This window comes from Homo sapiens, chromosome 9 (assembly GCF_000001405.40).
Source record: "Homo sapiens chromosome 9, GRCh38.p14 Primary Assembly".
In the NCBI taxonomy this organism is placed as follows: Eukaryota; Metazoa; Chordata; class Mammalia; order Primates; family Hominidae; genus Homo; species Homo sapiens.
Genome location: NC_000009.12, coordinates 112,793,447 through 112,812,070, shown reverse-complemented (window position 1 = coordinate 112,812,070; position 18,624 = coordinate 112,793,447). Strand labels below are relative to the sequence as shown.

At 42.6% G+C, this 18,624-nt stretch overlaps 1 protein-coding gene across 10 annotated transcripts in view, besides 4 other annotated features; it reads right to left on the bottom strand.

Annotated features, from left to right (window-relative positions):
- Positions 1-18,624, bottom strand: part of SNX30 (sorting nexin family member 30) — a 136,047-nt gene that overhangs the window by 73,699 nt on the left and 43,724 nt on the right. For all 10 annotated transcript variants that reach the window (XR_007061307.1, XR_007061301.1, XR_007061302.1 and 7 more), the window contains exon 2: positions 7,104-7,295. Coding sequence is in view for 3 of the 10 variants with exons in the window: in XM_047423393.1 (XP_047279349.1) it covers positions 7,104-7,295 (192 nt within the window). In the remaining 7 variants the exon portion in view is untranslated. The remainder of the gene's footprint in view (positions 1-7,103; positions 7,296-18,624) is intronic.
- Positions 611-1,521: an enhancer, noted in NCBI's record as "H3K4me1 hESC enhancer chr9:115572830-115573740 (GRCh37/hg19 assembly coordinates)". NCBI's record gives its function as "activates a minimal SCP1, AML or CMV promoter by ChIP-STARR-seq in naive H9 embryonic stem cells {active_cell/tissue: H9 hESC(naive)}" and the evidence as "EXISTENCE:reporter gene assay evidence [ECO:0000049][PMID:30033119]".
- Positions 7,437-8,062: an enhancer, noted in NCBI's record as "OCT4-H3K27ac-H3K4me1 hESC enhancer chr9:115566289-115566914 (GRCh37/hg19 assembly coordinates)". NCBI's record gives its function as "activates a minimal SCP1, AML or CMV promoter by ChIP-STARR-seq in primed H9 embryonic stem cells {active_cell/tissue: H9 hESC(primed)}" and the evidence as "EXISTENCE:reporter gene assay evidence [ECO:0000049][PMID:30033119]".
- Positions 8,063-8,690: an enhancer, noted in NCBI's record as "OCT4-H3K27ac-H3K4me1 hESC enhancer chr9:115565661-115566288 (GRCh37/hg19 assembly coordinates)". NCBI's record gives its function as "activates a minimal SCP1, AML or CMV promoter by ChIP-STARR-seq in primed H9 embryonic stem cells {active_cell/tissue: H9 hESC(primed)}" and the evidence as "EXISTENCE:reporter gene assay evidence [ECO:0000049][PMID:30033119]".
- Positions 16,268-16,562: an enhancer, noted in NCBI's record as "tiled region #12854; K562 Activating DNase matched - State 8:EnhW". NCBI's record gives its function as "activates a minimal TATA promoter and a strong SV40 promoter by Sharpr-MPRA in K562 cells {active_cell/tissue: K562}" and the evidence as "EXISTENCE:reporter gene assay evidence [ECO:0000049][PMID:27701403]".

Below are 18,624 nucleotides of genomic sequence, written 5' to 3'. Positions count from 1 at the left end.
ACACTCACAATGAAACACTGCACACCAGCTGAAACTGGGCCAGAGACACTACTTGGAATTTCTGGAGAGAAACACATTTATAGGACTCACAGTATTCATAAAACAGGCAGACCAGTAAAACTCCAAAGATAAGTTTGTAGTAAATTTTTCCTCCATGAAATTCAGGATCTAACTTAGGAAAATTTAAAAATATACATTTATCTCTATTTTTGAATACCTATAGTAAACAATTTTTTAAAAGAACGAAAAGCATACACACACAATTCCATAATCAGAGACAACCACTACATCATTTTGTTCTATGTCCTTCCACATCGTGTGTCCACAATGCAGAATGTCCAAAGATCACAAGGTCACGGGCGCACATGTACAGTCAGGTCTAAGAACAGGTGACCAAGCACAAGAATCATAGTCAAGAAGGCTCATTTTTGCTATGCTAGAAGTGTAACACCATCACTCCACGTGGATACGTCCCTGGTCATCTCCAGACATCCCTGGAAATTTTTTTTTCCTTCAGAAGTTCAACATTTTAGAAGACCCAGCACAGAATGACAGTCTAATCGGTCATCCAGCAGGGCACTCCACCTACTGGGCCCCACTCACCCTACCACATAAGGTCTCCCCTTATGCCCCAAGAGCTGACATGCCCAACAACTGTGGCCCAAGGCCGTTCCGAAGAACGTCCATTTGATCCAAAATTTACAATTGAGTCACTCCAGAGAGACGTGGTCTTTATCACAAGTGCCATCTGTCCAGGCCACAGCTGGGTCTTAAGAATTCTAGGCAACCCCCATCTCCCAACAAAGGGATCTCTTCCCTTATCAAACAAAAACCAGCTAGTCCCATTCTGCCTCAAAACCCCACTGCCCTGAGAATGACAAGTAGAGGCTTCCAGCCTTTCATCCTCACGCTCCTCTGCCTTCCTTTCTTCCAACATGGACTTCCACTTATCTCGTTCCTCTCAGATCTTTCTGCCAAGCTCTCTGGAAGACCCACGCCATAGTTAATAAAGTCTTGTCGTTCTTCTGCCCATTCAAATTCTGAAACCTGGCTCTCCCTGAGAATCGGGCCTCCCTGCCATCGGTCCCTCTGTGAGCTGCTCGCATTCCACAAGCCTCGCCCAGCCCCCAAGGCCAGGAGCTGCTGCTGACATGCTCCTCGTTCCACACAGCTCCTGACCACCACTCCCCAACCGCCCTGTGAAAACCCTTCTGAGGCTCGTGCCATCCAGTGACATACATCCTGTATCTCTCCCGCACAGCTGTCATCCACTGACAGCTCTGCCATTTCTCCTGATGCCCTGAAGATTCAAGCAGCTGGCTCTCAGGCTTCCTTTCCAAGCCCTTCCACAACCTAAGTGCCCTCGAGATCCAGGTGGCTCATACATACAACACCAGCCTCTAAGCAAGCAATGTTTCCTTCCATTCCACAGCCTCTCCCAGACCGTCACCAGGGAGAAACCCACACATCTCCCTCTAAACGGCATCCCCTATATTTCAGGCTCTTCCTCTTCCCAACATCCTTGGTTTCTCAGCCTCTTGGGACCTAAAGTTCCTTGACATTCCATCCATTCATGTCTTTACTTCCTTCCTTCTTTACTCAGCATCCATTCCATGGCCCAGAACTTCAATCACTTACAGCAATATCTAAATGTTGTTCCCTCCCCACTGCCCATTCACCCAACTCGTAAAAACCCACTTGCTCTACCAGACCTGGGTGTGTGAGCACACTGCTAGAGGAGAAACAAAATCAAGCAAACACACGGACAGACACGATACATTCTACAACCAGACCCTCCAACATTGCCAGGCACCCTTTTCATACTCCCTTACGTCAGCTCACTCCCACACTGTCCAAATCATTTATCAAAAAGCCCATAAAAGTTGTGAAAATTTCTAATCCCCACTTCAAACCACCCCCACCCTTAGAAGGCTTCATCATCTATTCAGAGAGAAAACTCCAGATATAAGCAAAGAACCCCTTAACTTCCTGCCACAAAACAAACTTCCCTTCCTTCTCCACAAACAATGGAAAAAGTACACCGCCCCTTCGGTGGCAATTCTAGCTTCCTCCGCCTTCCCAGGAGCCTCCATCCTACTCTCCAATCTTCAACCTAATGCCTTCTTCTCTACCAATACTGCGCAACTGGCAGTTAAACAAGTCTCTTTCATCCTTAAAAACAGCAGCAGTCCAAAAAAAAAAGCCTCCCTCTCCCTCAAACCCATGCCCACTTCTGACCACTGCTCTCTATGCTTGTTTTCATTGCCAGAATTCTAACACTCTTCTCTCTCTTACCCCTCGCTCACTCTAACCCACTTGGGTTCTGCATCACTACACCAATGAAACTGCTCACACCACAACCAGCAATAACTGTGTCATTAAACTAACGTCCACTTTGCATTGTACATAATTCAGCCTCGGAGCAGCATTTAGACTCTGTTGACCACTGAGGCATTTAGAAAGAGGAACTAGTTGGGGTGTTATGACTCTTTTTCTTTTTTTTTTTACACACCACTGGTAATGAGGCTAAACACAAGAAAATAATAAACCCTGAAGGGAATTGAAGGCTCGCCTCTGTTTCCTCACCCTCAAGCCTACTTCTGTATTGTCAGTTTCAACCACACAGGCCATGCTACTGGACCACAGTGCTGGGTATCGGGGCCATCCCTCTCTTGAAAATCATGTCTTTTGGGCCAGGCGCAGTGGCTCACGCCTGTAATCCCAGCACTTTGGGAAACCAAGGTGGGCAGATCGCCTGAGGTCAGGAGTTTGAGACCAGCCTGTCCAAAATGATGAAACCCCATCTCTACTAAAAATACAAAAAATTAGCCAGGCACAGTGCTGTAATCCCAGCTACTCAGGATGCTGAGGCAGGAGAATCGCTTGAACCTGGGAGGCGGAGGCCGCAGTGAGCTGAGGTCATACCACTGCACTCCAGCCTGGGCAACAGAGCAAGACTCTGTCAAAAAAAAAAAAAAAGAAAGAAAATCATGTCTTTTGGGCAAGATTATTAATATTTATTATCTTTAGAATCAGAGAGACCTGGACTCAAGTTCTAGCTCCACCACCCATGAGTTGCATGTCTTTGAGCAATTTTCTTAACATCTCTGTCTCTCAATTTTCTCATTTGTAAGATAATAGTATTTATATCTACTTCATTGAGTGTGAAGATTAACTGATAATATACGTAAAGCATTTAGCACAAAATAAATGAGGGCACATCCATACAATGGAACGCTATTGCAGTCTTATAAACAATAGCATAAAAGCATGCTTACTGGCATTTCCTAGCATAGAAACATGTTCACAATGTATTAAGTGAATTGGCAGTATACAAAATACTCGTTTTTGTAAAACTGGATGAAGTAGTATAGAAAGTCAGCAACAATTATTTCTGGCTGGTGAGCGTATAGGCATTCTTTAGTGTTTTAGCTTACTTGAACTTTCTTTTTTTTCTACAATGAACATACATTACTTATATAACATAAAAATAAAAGGGTTTCAACTGCAAAAAAGTACAGTGCATGGTAAGTGTCCAATAACTAGCTGCTGTTATGATGTTACTTTCTTGTAGTCTCCAGAAAAAAAGAGCCAGAAGCTGCCTGCCCTAAGAAGGCCTAAACTGGCTCTCCACCACTGGGGAGAGAAGATACTTTTACCTTAGATTTGGGTGGATAATTCTTTGCCTACATTGGCTGTCAGCCTTCACTTATTTTAGCTCAGGCAAAAAGAGCTCTGTACTTTGTCCAGCCCTGGTCATCAGGAATCTGAATTAGGACTAGAGCATCAAAGCCTTAAGGTAATAAAGCAAAGCATTTGAACAACCTTGTCCTCTGACCATTAACTTCGTTTGAGGACCTCTGCAGAAGTGGAAGTCCCAGGACAGGGTCAGGTGTTGGGATCCCGTGTTCCTCTTGTTTGTTCTCTTTCTCTCATTCTCACACACCCCTACGATATCCGTCAATACAACTTCAGAAAGAAGCCTCTGAATGCACCACCAAAATATAAACCTGGTGTCACTATTAGAAACAGGAAAAGAAGACAACTCTGGTTTGGGATCAGAAGTGAAAGAAATGATAAAAAGTAAAACTCAGTTCTGCAACAAGATTATCTTGAGGTGCTGGCATCACAGCCAAGTGAAAATGTGCTGCTAGAACTTGGAAAACGTTACTCTAAGGCATTTAATGACTTATAGGAAATCAAGCCCAAGAGAAGGGATAGAAATAAGAACACAGAGGGAAAAAGGTAGGGAAGGAAAGAGAAGCAGCACAGGAAAGACTGGTGAGTTGCAGTTGCGCGTTAGCCTCTCAATCAGTTAATGGGAGTCCTGTAGTATTTGCATTTTGGGGCAGAAAAATCAAGAAGCTGAGGGGAAATGTCACAGTGGGCAAGCACTGCTGTGCCAGCAAGGCGGTCACTTTGTCATTTGGCTGTTTACAGCACTAAGTCAAGAAAAACAGGCTTACCTTTCACTGACTACAGGGTAAAAAATAAGGTCACCCTAGAAAAAAATAAATAAATGGATATAATTCCTGGAAATATGTATATTAATCTAGGTCCTCTGAGGAAATAATATATGTAAGCATCTAGCCCAATGTCTGGGCTAGGTGCCCAGTGGTGTAGTGGGGTAAGACTATGCATGTGCACACGTACTTACATAGACATATCTTTACATGCGAACCTGCTGCAGAAAACACAGGGTAGCAGCCGGACACAGCGGCTCACGCTTGTAATCCCAGCACTTTGGGAGGCCCAGGCGGGCAGATCACCTGACACCAGGAGTTCAAGACCAGGCTGGCCAACATAGTAAAACCTCATCTCTACTAAAAATACAAAAAGTAGCCGGGCATGGTGGCATACATCTGTAGTCCCAGCTACTCGGGAGGCTGAGGCAGGAGAATCCCCTTGAACCCAGAGGGCGGAGGTTGCAGTGAGCTGAGATCACGCCACTACACTCCATCCTGGGCGACAGAGGGAGACTCTGTCTCAAAAAAAAAAAAAAAAAAAAAAAAAAAAAAGATAGAAAAGAAAAGACAGAGTAGTAACATCAAAAAACTGGAGCAGGCTTAAATGTCCATAGAGAAAAGATATAATTATTGCATAAATAATTAGACAGAGATTGAAAGAGTAAGCTAGACATGGTCATATGAACATGGAAAGGTCTTCAAAAATACTATAAAATGGAAGGGAACATTGGAAAGCAACATTACACTGAAATCTAAATCATATACATTCTAACTATACATGTGTGTGAATGTAAACGCAAAGAAAAACAACTAGAAGGACACACAGCAAATTTTAGCCATGGTTGCTTTTGGCAAGAAGGACAAGGTAAGTAAGAAGGGCTGAGGGAGGCTCCCTGTTTCCACTCAGCATGTGGCCTTCAGCATCGCTTCTTTTATTTTTTTACAAATATAAAATTTTCATCCAATAAGAGATGAAGAAACACAACTTGAGTATTTTATTCCCTGCTTGTCTTTCCAAAGAATTTTAAAAGGTACAGAACTTACAAAACTTTCAAAATAAAAAATGATTTTTTTCTACAATGAAAAAGAAAAAAGACACAGTAAAAGACGAGGGACACGCTCATCAGAGCTTCTCTTAATGCCTTCCATAAAGACACCATCTATTAAAGGTTCCAAAAATATCTGTAAATCATTCTTTGTTATGTGACTTGGTGGGGGTGGGGTACCAAGAAATAGGATAGCTTCCTAACTAAACACTTTTTTATCCCAAGATACAAAGTGATAATGTGAATTCTCTCCCTAATAATGTCAATATTGTCATTCTTCCTCTAAATATGTGGCTTTCAACTGGTCGGGGGTGGGGTGGCAATCCTGTCCCCCAGGGAACATTTGGCAATGTCTGGAGACATTTTTGGTTGTCACAACTGGGGACCAAGAGAACACTCCTGCCGTCTCATGGGTAGAGGACAGGGCTGCTGATAAACACTCTATAAGACAGCCCCCCACAGCAAAGAACTCTTCAGTCCAAAAGGTTAATACTGCCAAGATTGGGAAACCTTGTTCCAAGACTAAAACTTTAATACTATTTTAAATATTCAAAAAATAATTTTCATAAGTAACAAATGATACATTAAAATTATTCTTTTATAAGTGGAATTATGTAAAGAGTATGGTTTTTAAAAATTAAAATATAGGCTGTATAGTCCTACAAATTCAAATTAGAATCCTGGTTACCAACTTTGTAACTTTGAGCGAGTTATTTGAACTTTCCACCTCTATTTCTTCATCTGAAAAATTGTAACTAAAGGATATAAGTTTTAAGATTGTTATGATCTTGGCTGGGCGTGGTGGCTCATGCCTGTAATCCCAGCACTTTGGGAGGCCGAGGCAGGTGGATCATCTGAGGTCAGGAGTTCGAGACCAGCCTGGCCAATAAGGTGAAACCCTGTCTCTACTAAAAATACAAAAATTAGCTGGGCATAGTGGCACATGCCTATAATCTCAGCTACTCAGGAGGCTGAGGCAAGAGAATTGCTTGAACCCAGGAGGTGGAAGTTGCAGTGGGCTGAGATCACACCACTGCACTCCAGCCTGGGCAACAGAGCAAGACTCTGTCTCAAAATAAAAAATTGTTATGATCTTAAAAGTTATTTAATTAATCAATTAAATCTCAACACCTGCCCACTACCTATCTGACACATACCAGAAAGACAGTATTAGTTTCTATCCTCCCATTATTCCTCCTCCTGCTACCATCAACCCCACCTAGGCCAAATTTTATTCATGGTCTCATCACAGTGATTTAGGTTGATACAATGATTCATAAATTTCAGAAGCAATATGATATTAACATGTTAAATAGTATCATGGTAAAAAAAAAAATAAGCGCAAGTATAGGGATTAAATGTTTATTTGAAAAATCTTACAATTTCTTCCTCATTCTAAGATTTAAAAAACTATTATATATAATCCTTTTCATCTGAATTACATCTATTCTCTCAAGAAGCCACACTCACAATTGCAATCAAGGTGAACAGAGTTGTACAATAAGGGGGAGAGCAAAGGCAAAATTCACTGAGGTAGACCCCAATTCCCCGAGACCACTCAACACGGGCATTCTATAACACAGGGACCTACTTTGGTGGTGATCCTATAGGTGATGTAAGTCTCCATTGTACACACATGCTTCTTGGGATCATCAACTATAACGAAGAGATCTCTAGTCTCACCATCAATATCATCATCAAGCTGAAGTCTGTTGAGAAGGGAAGATGAAGAAGCTGGACTTGAAGTACCTGCTGGAGTACCACCGTTGGGCAAAATGAGATCCTAAAAGAAGAAAAGAGCACCTTAAAATTAAATGAAAACATACTGGAGAGTATCAGCAAAAGCAGCTGGTTTAGCCAAACCAATAAACATTTCTAAAACCCAAAAATAACTTTCGAAACACCTGAGCCTCTCCCTACTCAGTGTTTCTTGAGTGAACAAATCTTTTACGACCAAGAGAAACAAACTATGGTAGTGCTTTGAATCAATTTCATGCCAATTCATCTTTTAGGAAGTGCTGGAGAAACCAATATAAGTAAGCAGTTCAAGGGCAGAGAACATAATGGCCCCACCATCATCAAACCTCAACAAGGGGCTGGGCGCAGTGGCTCACGCCTGTAATCCCAGCACTTTGGGAGGCCGAGACAGGTGGCTCACCTGAGGTCACGAGTTTGAGACCAGCCTGGCCAACATGGTGAAACCCCGTCTCTACTAAATATACAAAAATTAGCTGGACATGGTGGTGCATGCCTGTGATCCCAGCTACTCGGGAAGCTGAGGCAGGAGAATTGCTTGAACCTGGGAGGCGGAGGTTGCAGTGAGCCGAGACTGCGCCATTGCACTCCAACCTGGGCAACAAGAGCGAAACTCCATTTAAAAAAAAAAAACAAACCTCTGCGGAGGAGCCAAGATGGCCGAATAGGAACAGCTCCGGTCTACAGCTCCCAGCGTGAGCGACGCAGAAGACGGTGATTTCTGCATTTCCATCTGAGGTACCGGGTTCATCTCACTAGGGAGTGCCAGACAGTGGGCGCAGGCCAGTGTGTGTGCGCACCGTGCGCGAGCCGAAGCAGGGCGAGGCATTGCCTCACCTGGGAAGCGCAAGGGGTCAGGGAGTTCCCTTTCCGAGTCAAAGAAAGGGGTGACGGATGCACCTGGAAAATCGGGTCACTCCCACCCGAATATTGCGCTTTTCAGACCGGCTTAAGAAACGGCGCACCACGAGACTATATCCCACACCTGGCTCGGAGGGTCCTACGCCCACGGAATCTCGCTGATTGCTAGCACAGCAGTCTGAGATCAAACTGCAAGGCGGCAACGAGGCTGGGGGAGGGGCGCCCGCCATTGCCCAGGCTTGCTTAGGTAAACAAAGCAGCCGGGAAGCTCAAACTGGGTGGAGCCCACCACAGCTCAAGGAGGCCTGCCTGCCTCTGTAGGCTCCACCTCTGGGGGCAGGGCACAGACAAACAAAAAGACAGCAGTAACCTCTGCAGACTTAAGTGTCCCTGTCTGACAGCTTTGAAGAGAGCAGTGGTTCTCCCAGCACGCAGCTGGAGATCTGAGAACGGGCAGACTGCCTCCTCAAGTGGGTCCCTGACTCCTGACCCCCGAGCAGCCTAACTGGGAGGCACCCCCCAGCAGGGGCACACTGACACCTCACACGGCAGGGTATTCCAACAGACCTGCAGCTGAGGGTCCTGTCTGTTAGAAGGAAAACTAACAACCAGAAAGGACATCTACACCGAAAACCCATCTGTACATCACCATCATCAAAGACCAAAAGTAGATAAAACCACAAAGATGGGGAAAAAACAGAACAGAAAAACTGGAAACTCTAAAACGCAGAGCGCCTCTCCTCCTCCAAAGGAACGCAGTTCCTCACCAGCAACAGAACAAAGCTGGATGGAGAATGATTTTGACGAGCTGAGAGAAGAAGGCTTCAGACGATCAAATTACTCTGAGCTACGGGAGGACATTCAAACCAAAGGCAAAGAAGTTGAAAACTTTGAAAAAAATTTAGAAGAATGTATAACTAGAATAACCAATACAGAGAAGTGCTTAAAGGAGCTGATGGAGCTGAAAACCAAGGCTCGAGAACTACGTGAAGAATGCAGAAGCCTCAGGAGCCGATGCGATCAACTGGAAGAAAGGGTATCAACAATGGAAGATGAAATGAATGAAATGAAGCGAGAAGGGAAGTTTAGAGAAAAAAGAATAAAAAGAAATGAGCAAAGCCTCCAAGAAATATGGGACTATGTGAAAAGACCAAATCTACGTCTGATTGGTGTACCTGAAAGTGATGTGGAGAATGGAACCAAGTTGGAAAACACTCTGCAGGATATTATCCAGGAGAACTTCCCCAATCTAGCAAGGCAGGCCAACGTTCAGATTCAGGAAATACAGAGAACACCACAAAGATACTCCTCGAGAAGAGCAACTCCAAGACACATAATTGTCAGATTCACCAAAGTTGAAATGAAGGAAAAAATGTTAAGGGCAGCCAGAGAGAAAGGTCGGGTTACCCTCAAAGGAAAGCCCATCAGACTAACAGCGGATCTCTCGGCAGAAACCCTACAAGCCAGAAGAGAGTGGGGGCCAATATTCAACATTCTTAAAGAAAAGAATTTTCAACCCAGAATTTCATATCCAGCCAAACTAAGCTTCATAAGTGAAGGAGAAATAAAATACTTTATAGACAAGCAAATGTTGAGAGATTTTGTCACCACCAGGCCTGCCCTAAAAGAGCTCCTGAAGGAAGCGCTAAACATGGAAAGGAACAACCGGTACCAGCCGCTGCAAAATCATGCCAAAATGTAAAGACCATCGAGACTAGGAAGAAACTGCATCAACTAATGAGCAAAATCACCAGCTAACATCATAATGACAGGATCAAATTCACACATAACAATATTAACTTTAAATATAAATGGACTAAATTCTGCAATTAAAAGACACAGACTGGCAAGTTGGATAAAGAGTCAAGACCCATCAGTGTGCTGTATTCAGGAAACCCATCTCACGTGCAGAGACACACATAGGCTCAAAATAAAAGGATGGAGGAAGATCTACCAAGCCAATGGAAAACAAAAAAAGGCAGGGGTTGCAATCCTAGTCTCTGATAAAACAGACTTTAAACCAACAAAGATCAAAAGAAACAAAGAAGGCCATTACATAATGGTAAAGGGATCAATTCAACAAGAGGAGCTAACTATCCTAAATATTTATGCACCCAATACAGGAGCACCCAGATTCATAAAGCAAGTCCTCAGTGACCTACAAAGAGACTTAGACTCCCACACATTAATAATGGGAGACTTTAACACCCCACTGTCAACATTAGACAGATCAACGAGACAGAAAGTCAACAAGGATACCCAGGAATTGAACTCAGCTCTGCACCAAGCAGACCTAATAGACATCTACAGAACTCTCCACCCCAAATCAACAGAATATACATTTTTTTCAGCACCACACCACACCTATTCCAAAATTGACCACATAGGTGGAAGTAAAGCTCTCCTCAGCAAATGTAAAAGAACAGAAATTATAACAAACTATCTCTCAGACCACAGTGCAATCAAACTAGAACTCAGGATTAAGAATCTCACTCAAAGCCGCTCAACTACATGGAAACTGAACAACCTGCTCCTGAATGACTACTGGGTACATAACGAAATGAAGGCAGAAATAAAGATGTTCTTTGAAACCAACGAGAACAAAGACACCACATACCAGAATCTCTGGGACGCATTCAAAGCAGTGTGTAGAGGGAAATTTATAGCACTAAATGCCTACAAGAGAAAGCAGGAAAGATCCAAAATTGACACCCACCCTAACATCACAATTAAAAGAACTAGAAAAGCAAGAGCAAACACATTCAAAAGCTAGCAGAAGGCAAGAAATAACTAAAATCAGAGCAGAACTGAAGGAAATAGAGACACAAAAAACCCTTCAAAAAATCAATGAATCCAGGAGCTGGTTTTTTGAAAGGATCAACAAAATTGATAGACCGCTAGCAAGACTAATAAAGAAAAAAAGAGAGAAGAATCAAATAGACACAATAAAAAATGATAAAGGGGATATCACCACCGATCCCACAGAAATACAAACTACCATCAGAGAATACTACAAACACCTCTACGCAAATAAACTAGAAAATCTAGAAGAAATGGATACATTCCTCGACACATACACTCTCCCAAGACTAAACCAGGAAGAAGTTGAATCTCTGAATAGACCAATAACAGGCTCTGAAATTGTGGCAATAATCAATAGTTTACCAACCAAAAAGAGTCCAGGACCAGATGGATTCACAGCCGAATTCTACCAGAGGTACATGGAGGAACTGGTACCATTCCTTCTGAAACTATTCCAATCAATAGAAAAAGAGGGAATCCTCCCTAACTCATTTTATGAGGCCAGCATCATTCTGATACCAAAGCCGGGCAGAGACACAACCAAAAAAGAGAATTTTAGACCAATATCCTTGATGAACATTGATGCAAAAATCCTCAATAAAATACTGGCAAACCGAATCCAGCAGCACATCAAAAAGCTTATCCACCATGATCAAGTGGGCTTCATCCCTGGGATGCAAGGCTGGTTCAATATACGCAAATCAATAAATGTAATCCAGCATATAAACAGAGCCAAAGACAAAAACCACATGATTATCTCAATAGATGCAGAAAAAGCCTTTGACAAAATTCAACAACCCTTCATGCTAAAAACTCTCAATAAATTAGGTATTGATGGGACGTATTTCAAAATAATAAGAGCTATCTATGACAAACCCACAGCCAATATCATACTGAATGGGCAAAAACTGGAAGCATTCCCTTTGAAAACCGGCACAAGACAGGGATGCCCTCTCTCACCGCTCCTATTCAACATAGTGTTGGAAGTTCTGGCCAGGGCAATCAGGCAGGAGAAGGAAATAAAGGGTATTCAATTAGGAAAAGAGGAAGTCAAATTGTCCCTGTTTGCAGACGACATGATTGTTTATCTAGAAAACCCCATCGTCTCAGCCCAAAATCTCCTTAAGCTGATAAGCAACTTCAGCAAAGTCTCAGGATACAAAATCAATGTACAAAAATCACAAGCATTCTTATACACCAACAACAGACAAACAGAGAGCCAAATCATGGGTGAACTCCCATTCACAATTGCTTCAAAGAGAATAAAATACCTAGGAATCCAACTTACAAGGGATGTGAAGGACCTCTTCAAGGAGAACTACAAACCACTGCTCAAGGAAATAAAAGAGGAGACAAACAAATGGAAGAACATTCCATGTTCATGGGTAGGAAGAATCAATATCGTGAAAATGGCCATACTGCCCAAGGTAATTTACAGATTCAATGCCATCCCCATCAAGCTACCAATGACTTTCTTCACAGAATTGGAAAAAACTACTTTAAAGTTCATATGGAACCAAAAAAGAGCCCGCATTGCCAAGTCAATCCTAAGCCAAAAGAACAAAGCTGGAGGCATCACACTACCTGACTTCAAACTATACTACAAGGCTACAGTAACCAAAACAGCATGGTACTGGTACCAAAACAGAGATATAGATCAATGGAACAGAACAGAGCCCTCAGAAATAATGCCGCATATCTACAACTATCTGATCTTTGACAAACCTGAGAAAAACAAGCAATGGGGAAAGGATTCCCTATTTAATAAATGGTGCTGGGAAAACTGGCTAGCCATATGTAGAAAGCTGAAACTGGATCCCTTCCTTACACCTTATACAAAAATCAATTCAAGATGGATTAAAGATTTAAACGTTAAACCTAAAACCATAAAAACCCTAGAAGAAAACCTAGGCATTACCATTCAGGACATAGGCGTGGGCAAGGACTTCATGTCCAAAACACCAAAAGCAATGGCAACAAAAGACAAAATTGACAAATGGGATCTAATTAAACTAAAGAGCTTCTGCACAGCAAAAGAAACTACCATCAGAGTGAACAGGCAACCTACAGAATGGGAGAAAATTTTTGCAACCTACTCATCTGACAAAGGGCTAATATCCAGAATCTACAATGAACTCAAACAAATTTACAAGAAAAAAACAAACAACCCCATCAAAAAGTGGGCGAAGGACATGAACAGACACTTCTCAAAAGAAGACATTTATGCAGTCAAAAAACACATGAAGAAATGCTCATCATCACTGGCCATCAGAGAAATGCAAATCAAAACCACTATGAGATATCATCTCACACCAGTTAGAATGGCAATCATTAAAAAGTCAGGAAACAACAGGTGCTGGAGAGGATGCGGAGAAATAGGAACACTTTTACACTGTTGGTGGGACTGTAAACTAGTTCAACCATTGTGGAAGTCAGTGTGGCGATTCCTCAGGGATCTAGAACTAGAAATACCATTTGACCCAGCCATCCCATTACTGGGTATATACCCAAATGAGTATAAATCATGCTGCTATAAAGACACATGCACACGTATGTTTATTGCGGCACTATTCACAATAGCAAAGACTTGGAACCAACCCAAATGTCCAACAATGATAGACTGGATTAAGAAAATGTGGCACATATACACCATGGAATACTATGCAGCCATAAAAAATGATGAGTTCATATCCTTTGTAGGGACATGGATGAAATTGGAAACCATCATTCTCAGTAAACTATCGCAAGAACAAAAAACCAAACACCGCATATTCTCACTCATAGGTGGGAATTGAACAATGAGATCACATGGACACAGGAAGGGGAATATCACACTCTGGGGACTGTGGTGGGGTCGGGGGAGGGGGGAGGGATAGCATTGGGAGATATACCTAATGCTAGATGACACATTAGTGGGTGCAGTGCACCAGCATGGCACATGTATACATATGTAACTAACCTGCACAATGTGCACATGTACCCTAAAACTTAGAGTATAATAAAAAAAAAAAAAAAAAAAGAAAAAAAAAAAAACAAACCTCAACAAGGAAAGCTCCCTGTGAGCATACTCCGTTTTTCCCACTTTGTCAAGACCACCACGTGGGCCCAGGTAAACATTAAGAAACCTGGCTGGGCGCGCAGTGCCTCACGCCTGTAATTACAGCACTTTGGGAGGCGAAGGCAGGCAGATCACTTGAGGTCAGGAGTTCAAGACCAGCCTGGCCAACATGGTGAAATCGTCTCTACTAAAAAAAAAAAAAAAAAAAATACCAATATTAGCTGGGCACGGTGGCGTGCGCCTACTCGGGGGGCTGAGGCAGGAGAATTGCTTGAACCCCGGCAGGCAGAGGTTGCAGTGAGCCGGGATCATGCCACTGCACTCCAGTCTGGGCGACAGAGCAAGACTCCATCTCAAAAAAAAAAAAAAAAGAAAAAGAAAAAGAAAAGAAGAGAGAGCGCAAGCACCTATAAATGTAAAGAAACTTAAGAGATCAACCAATTCCATTAAAACAAGATACAAAAAGATAAAGATTTTGAGATATTTAGGGAAATTTGAATATTGATATTAAGGAATCACTGGGTATGATAATGGAAGTATGATTTTACAAAATCTTCATCTTTTAAAATTATATACTAAAATATTTATGAATAAAATAAAATGGCATTTGCTTCAAAATAATTAAGGATGAGTAGGTGGGGATATAAATGATACAAGATGCCCAAGCTGATCACCATTGAAGCTGGTACCTGCAGGTTCATTATACAATTCTCTTCCCTTTTCTATATGCTTAAAATTTTCTATGACGTTTTTAAAAGAGAGTAGTGGGTAGGAGGGTAGTCAGTGGGACAAATGCCAGGAAAGGAAGGGAAAGATAGATTTTTTAAATTGCAGACCTCGCTCTTTGGTCTTGGTAAGAAGCCAATGAATAAATTATGTCCCTACAGTATTCAAAAAATGGCTGTGAAACTAAGAAGGCCTAGTTAGTTATCTTGTTTGGTTTGGAGGTTTGGTAACAGAACAGAGCCCTGCCTAGCAGCAGATGTGAAGGCCTCTGAATATCGCTTTGGAATAACTGGGAAACAGAGACTAAAGAATATGGCAAGAAAGTGACATGACACCATGGGAAGAGCCTGGGTGACCTGTGGGCCATCAGATCACAGGCTGGGGAGGAGGGGGTGCTTTCCCTATATTCTCTCCTCTTGGAGTTTTGCAGGTGAGTTATGACCTAGCCCCCATGCAAGAGAACGTACAGGAAATTAGAGGTTAACCTAGCAGTCACATCCATGAGCTCTAGCTGATGACGGGACATCTGGGAAGGGCAATGGGACACGGCGGAGTGAAGAAGTGTGGCCTGGGGTCAAGGGCAATGTCACCCAACTTGGGGGGTAATGGAAAGTACACAGAAAAAGCACCTTCAACTCCCATTTCTGCTGACCACAGATCATTTAATCACATACCTACGCAATATCAAAAAAACTGTAATTACTAAAAGGGTACCATTTTTCACAGAAGGTACTCATGGCAATAGACCTCCCCCCTCCGCTTCTCTTCCGTTATGCTTCTGACTACAGGGCAGATGGACAAGCTCATCAGCTGGGACGTCATACCTTCAACAGCCCCTCTCAGTGTGGACGTGACTGCAGAGTCCAACTACAGCAGCAGCCACTGATGGGACTGCCTTTTCAATGTACTGGTACCACGGGACACACGGCGTCCACACCCCAGTGTCTGGGGATTTGTAGGGGGACAACATCTTCTCTGGAACTCCAGGATAAACATCATGTCTTGGTTATTTCAGTAAACATTTAAACACTGACCTCAGGCAGGATGCCATGCTAGGCATCACAGGGGCCCTCCCTTAACATTTTATCAACACTAGCACACCGGGCCTCCGAACAGCTCTGTCAGTGGACAGACACTGCACAAAAGAAAAAGAATTCACAATCTTAAGGCAGAGATGCCAAAATCAGCTCAGACAGTGGTTTCCCACAATCTGGCCTGGTTTGATCTCAGCAGCCTCCTTTCTTACCACCTCCTTCCACATCCGAGGGACCAGTTCTCAGGAACCACCCAGCAGTTTCATGCCCCTTATCTTTGCTGGAAAAGCTCCCCTGCTGTACATAATAATCTCCAAATATCTTCCAGGAATCTGCTTGAATCCCCTCTCCTTTAACGCTTTCCTTGACCCACTCCCTGGTAGAATTACTCACACCCTTCTCAATACTTTGAAGACACCTCCACTGAAGCATTTTGTAGTTTTAATCATTTATTTATATATCAAACTTATCCACAAACACTGTAAGTCCCCAGTGACTGCAACTGTGCCTTGCTCATCATGTGTGCGTGTGTGTGTGTGTGTGTGTGTGTGTGTGTGACTGTACTGTGAGTGTGTGTGTGTGATTATCTTTCTGTCTCCCCAGGTCGGGTAGTGACTTCAAGCCAACTCCCCTAACATTTGCCCTGGGAACCTCAGCCAATAACCTTCCAGGAACAGCCCACATAAAGATCTGAAATGTCTTGGCCAGACAGTATGAAGTTAGTTCTCGAATCAGTTGTTGGGAGTGAGGGAGGGGAGAGTCAGTCAATCAGACCTTGCCACATACTCCAGATTCTTCCCTCCTATGCTACCCTGGCCCATGGTAGGTACTCAGTATTTCATGAATGAATGAATCTTAGAAACGACCAAATTCAATCCCTTGCCTATCAAAAGTACTCAATAAATGTCTGTGGAAGGACAAGCAACTGAGGCTAACCTGAGCCAGACTGCCCAGTTCTGAATCCCAGTACCACTAATTACTACCAGTGCAACTTAAGCAAGCTTCTTAATCTAAGCCCCGATGTCCTCATTTATAAAATGGGTATAGTGGGATTGAGTTAGTTAGTATATGGAAGCAGTTGGAATAGTGTGTGGTACATGGCTGGTGCTGTATCACTATTCTCTCTCTCTCATACACACACACACAGACACACACACACGTGCTTGTAAGTATTCTTGCATCCTCTTATAAACTATGAGGCTGGGTTCATAGCAGACACACAATAATTGCTAAAAAATAAAAATTGCATTGAGACCCACAGTTGGGGCCTCAAATATATTTTCTTAATGATTTTATTATAACAAAGGATATCCAGAATAGCCTTTGTGAAGAGTTACAACTACATAGTTGATTAATAATGAAAACTCCCCATTGTTGCAAAATACCAATTTTCACCATGTAGGTTTCCATTATAAGAGCATTTCTTACTCCTTCCCACTTTTACTTTACCCTAGGAAGACAGATGCAGAGTGAGGTTGCTTTACAAACTCCTCTGGTTCAAAGAATTTCAATTTTAAGATACACCATTATGGTCAGCCAGCCACAAGACAGAATATTAAATTAACATAAATCACTGGCAAAATTTTATATTACATTAAACATATGATTTATGAAGAGAGTGGTATAGACTAGGAGCCAATATAGTTTTAATAAAAATAAGTTATGCTAAAACAATCTAATTTCTCTTTTTGATTCTATTGGAGGAATATGGGCAAGTGAATGATCTAGTCTCAGAGGAGCCTGACAAAGCCTCTCAAGGCATCTTTACGTTAAGGGTAAAATGATGGCTCTCTGAATACACAGACTGCATATTACTTTTCTTAATTTACCCCCCTCGTGCCAGGTACACAGCAGATGCTTAAAGAATGTGTTGGCCACGCGCAGTGGCTCACACCTGTAATCCCAGCACTTTGGGAGGTCGAGGCGGGTGGATCACGAGGTCAGGAGTTCAAGACCAACCTGACCAACATGGTAAAACCCCATCTCTACTAAAAATACAAAAATTAGCCAGGGGTGTTGGCACACGTCTGTAATCCCCGCTACTCAGGAGGCTGAGGCAGGAGAACTGCTTGAACTTGGGAGGCGGCGGGTGCAGTGACCTGAGATCACGCCACTGCACTCCAACCTATGCGACAAGAGCAAGACTCCATCTCAAAAAAAAAGAAAAAAAATGAATGAATGTGTTCTATACAAACTGAATATTCTTGATTGTTGATTTTGTTGTAAAACTAAAGCTAAGCCCACTTTGGAGAATAAACTCAAAGGGATAATCTCAAAAATGTTCTGTTCAAAGATGTTCATGATACAAAGAACACAGAGTGAAACCTAGAAAAATCCCAAAGGCTCAATAACCAGGAAGCGGTCATGTTTGTATGTGTAATGTGACACACTTGTTTAAAAAATTAGAAAGCTAGACCTCTAGATAAACTCAGTGAGTTGAACACAAGCCTCTGCGTTCTCCCTTTTTCCACCCTCCAGATACTAATTTAACCTAGAGAATGAAAGAAAAAAAAAAAAACAAAAAACAGTGGAGGTAAAAAGAACAAGAAAAACAGTGACTGGAGTCATATCAATACTGGAAATGAGGAAAGGGTGCCATCCAAATGCCAAAGGTCTCAAAGGCTGTCTACTGGTTCTACCTGGGCCACAACTGAAAAAAGAACCCAGAGGAATCTAACCCATGTCACCGAAGTTACTTCAGGTTATTGAGGTTACTTAATAAGTAGAAAATGTCCTTGAACCCCCTTTACACGCACGCTAATTTGAAAGTGTGATTGTCAGTGGGGAGTAGAGGACATGGAAGGTTTGGCAGTGGGGCAATCCAGGACCACCAAGGAGTTGGCTGCTGTGACTGTGACCAAGGGGATGCCAAGCAC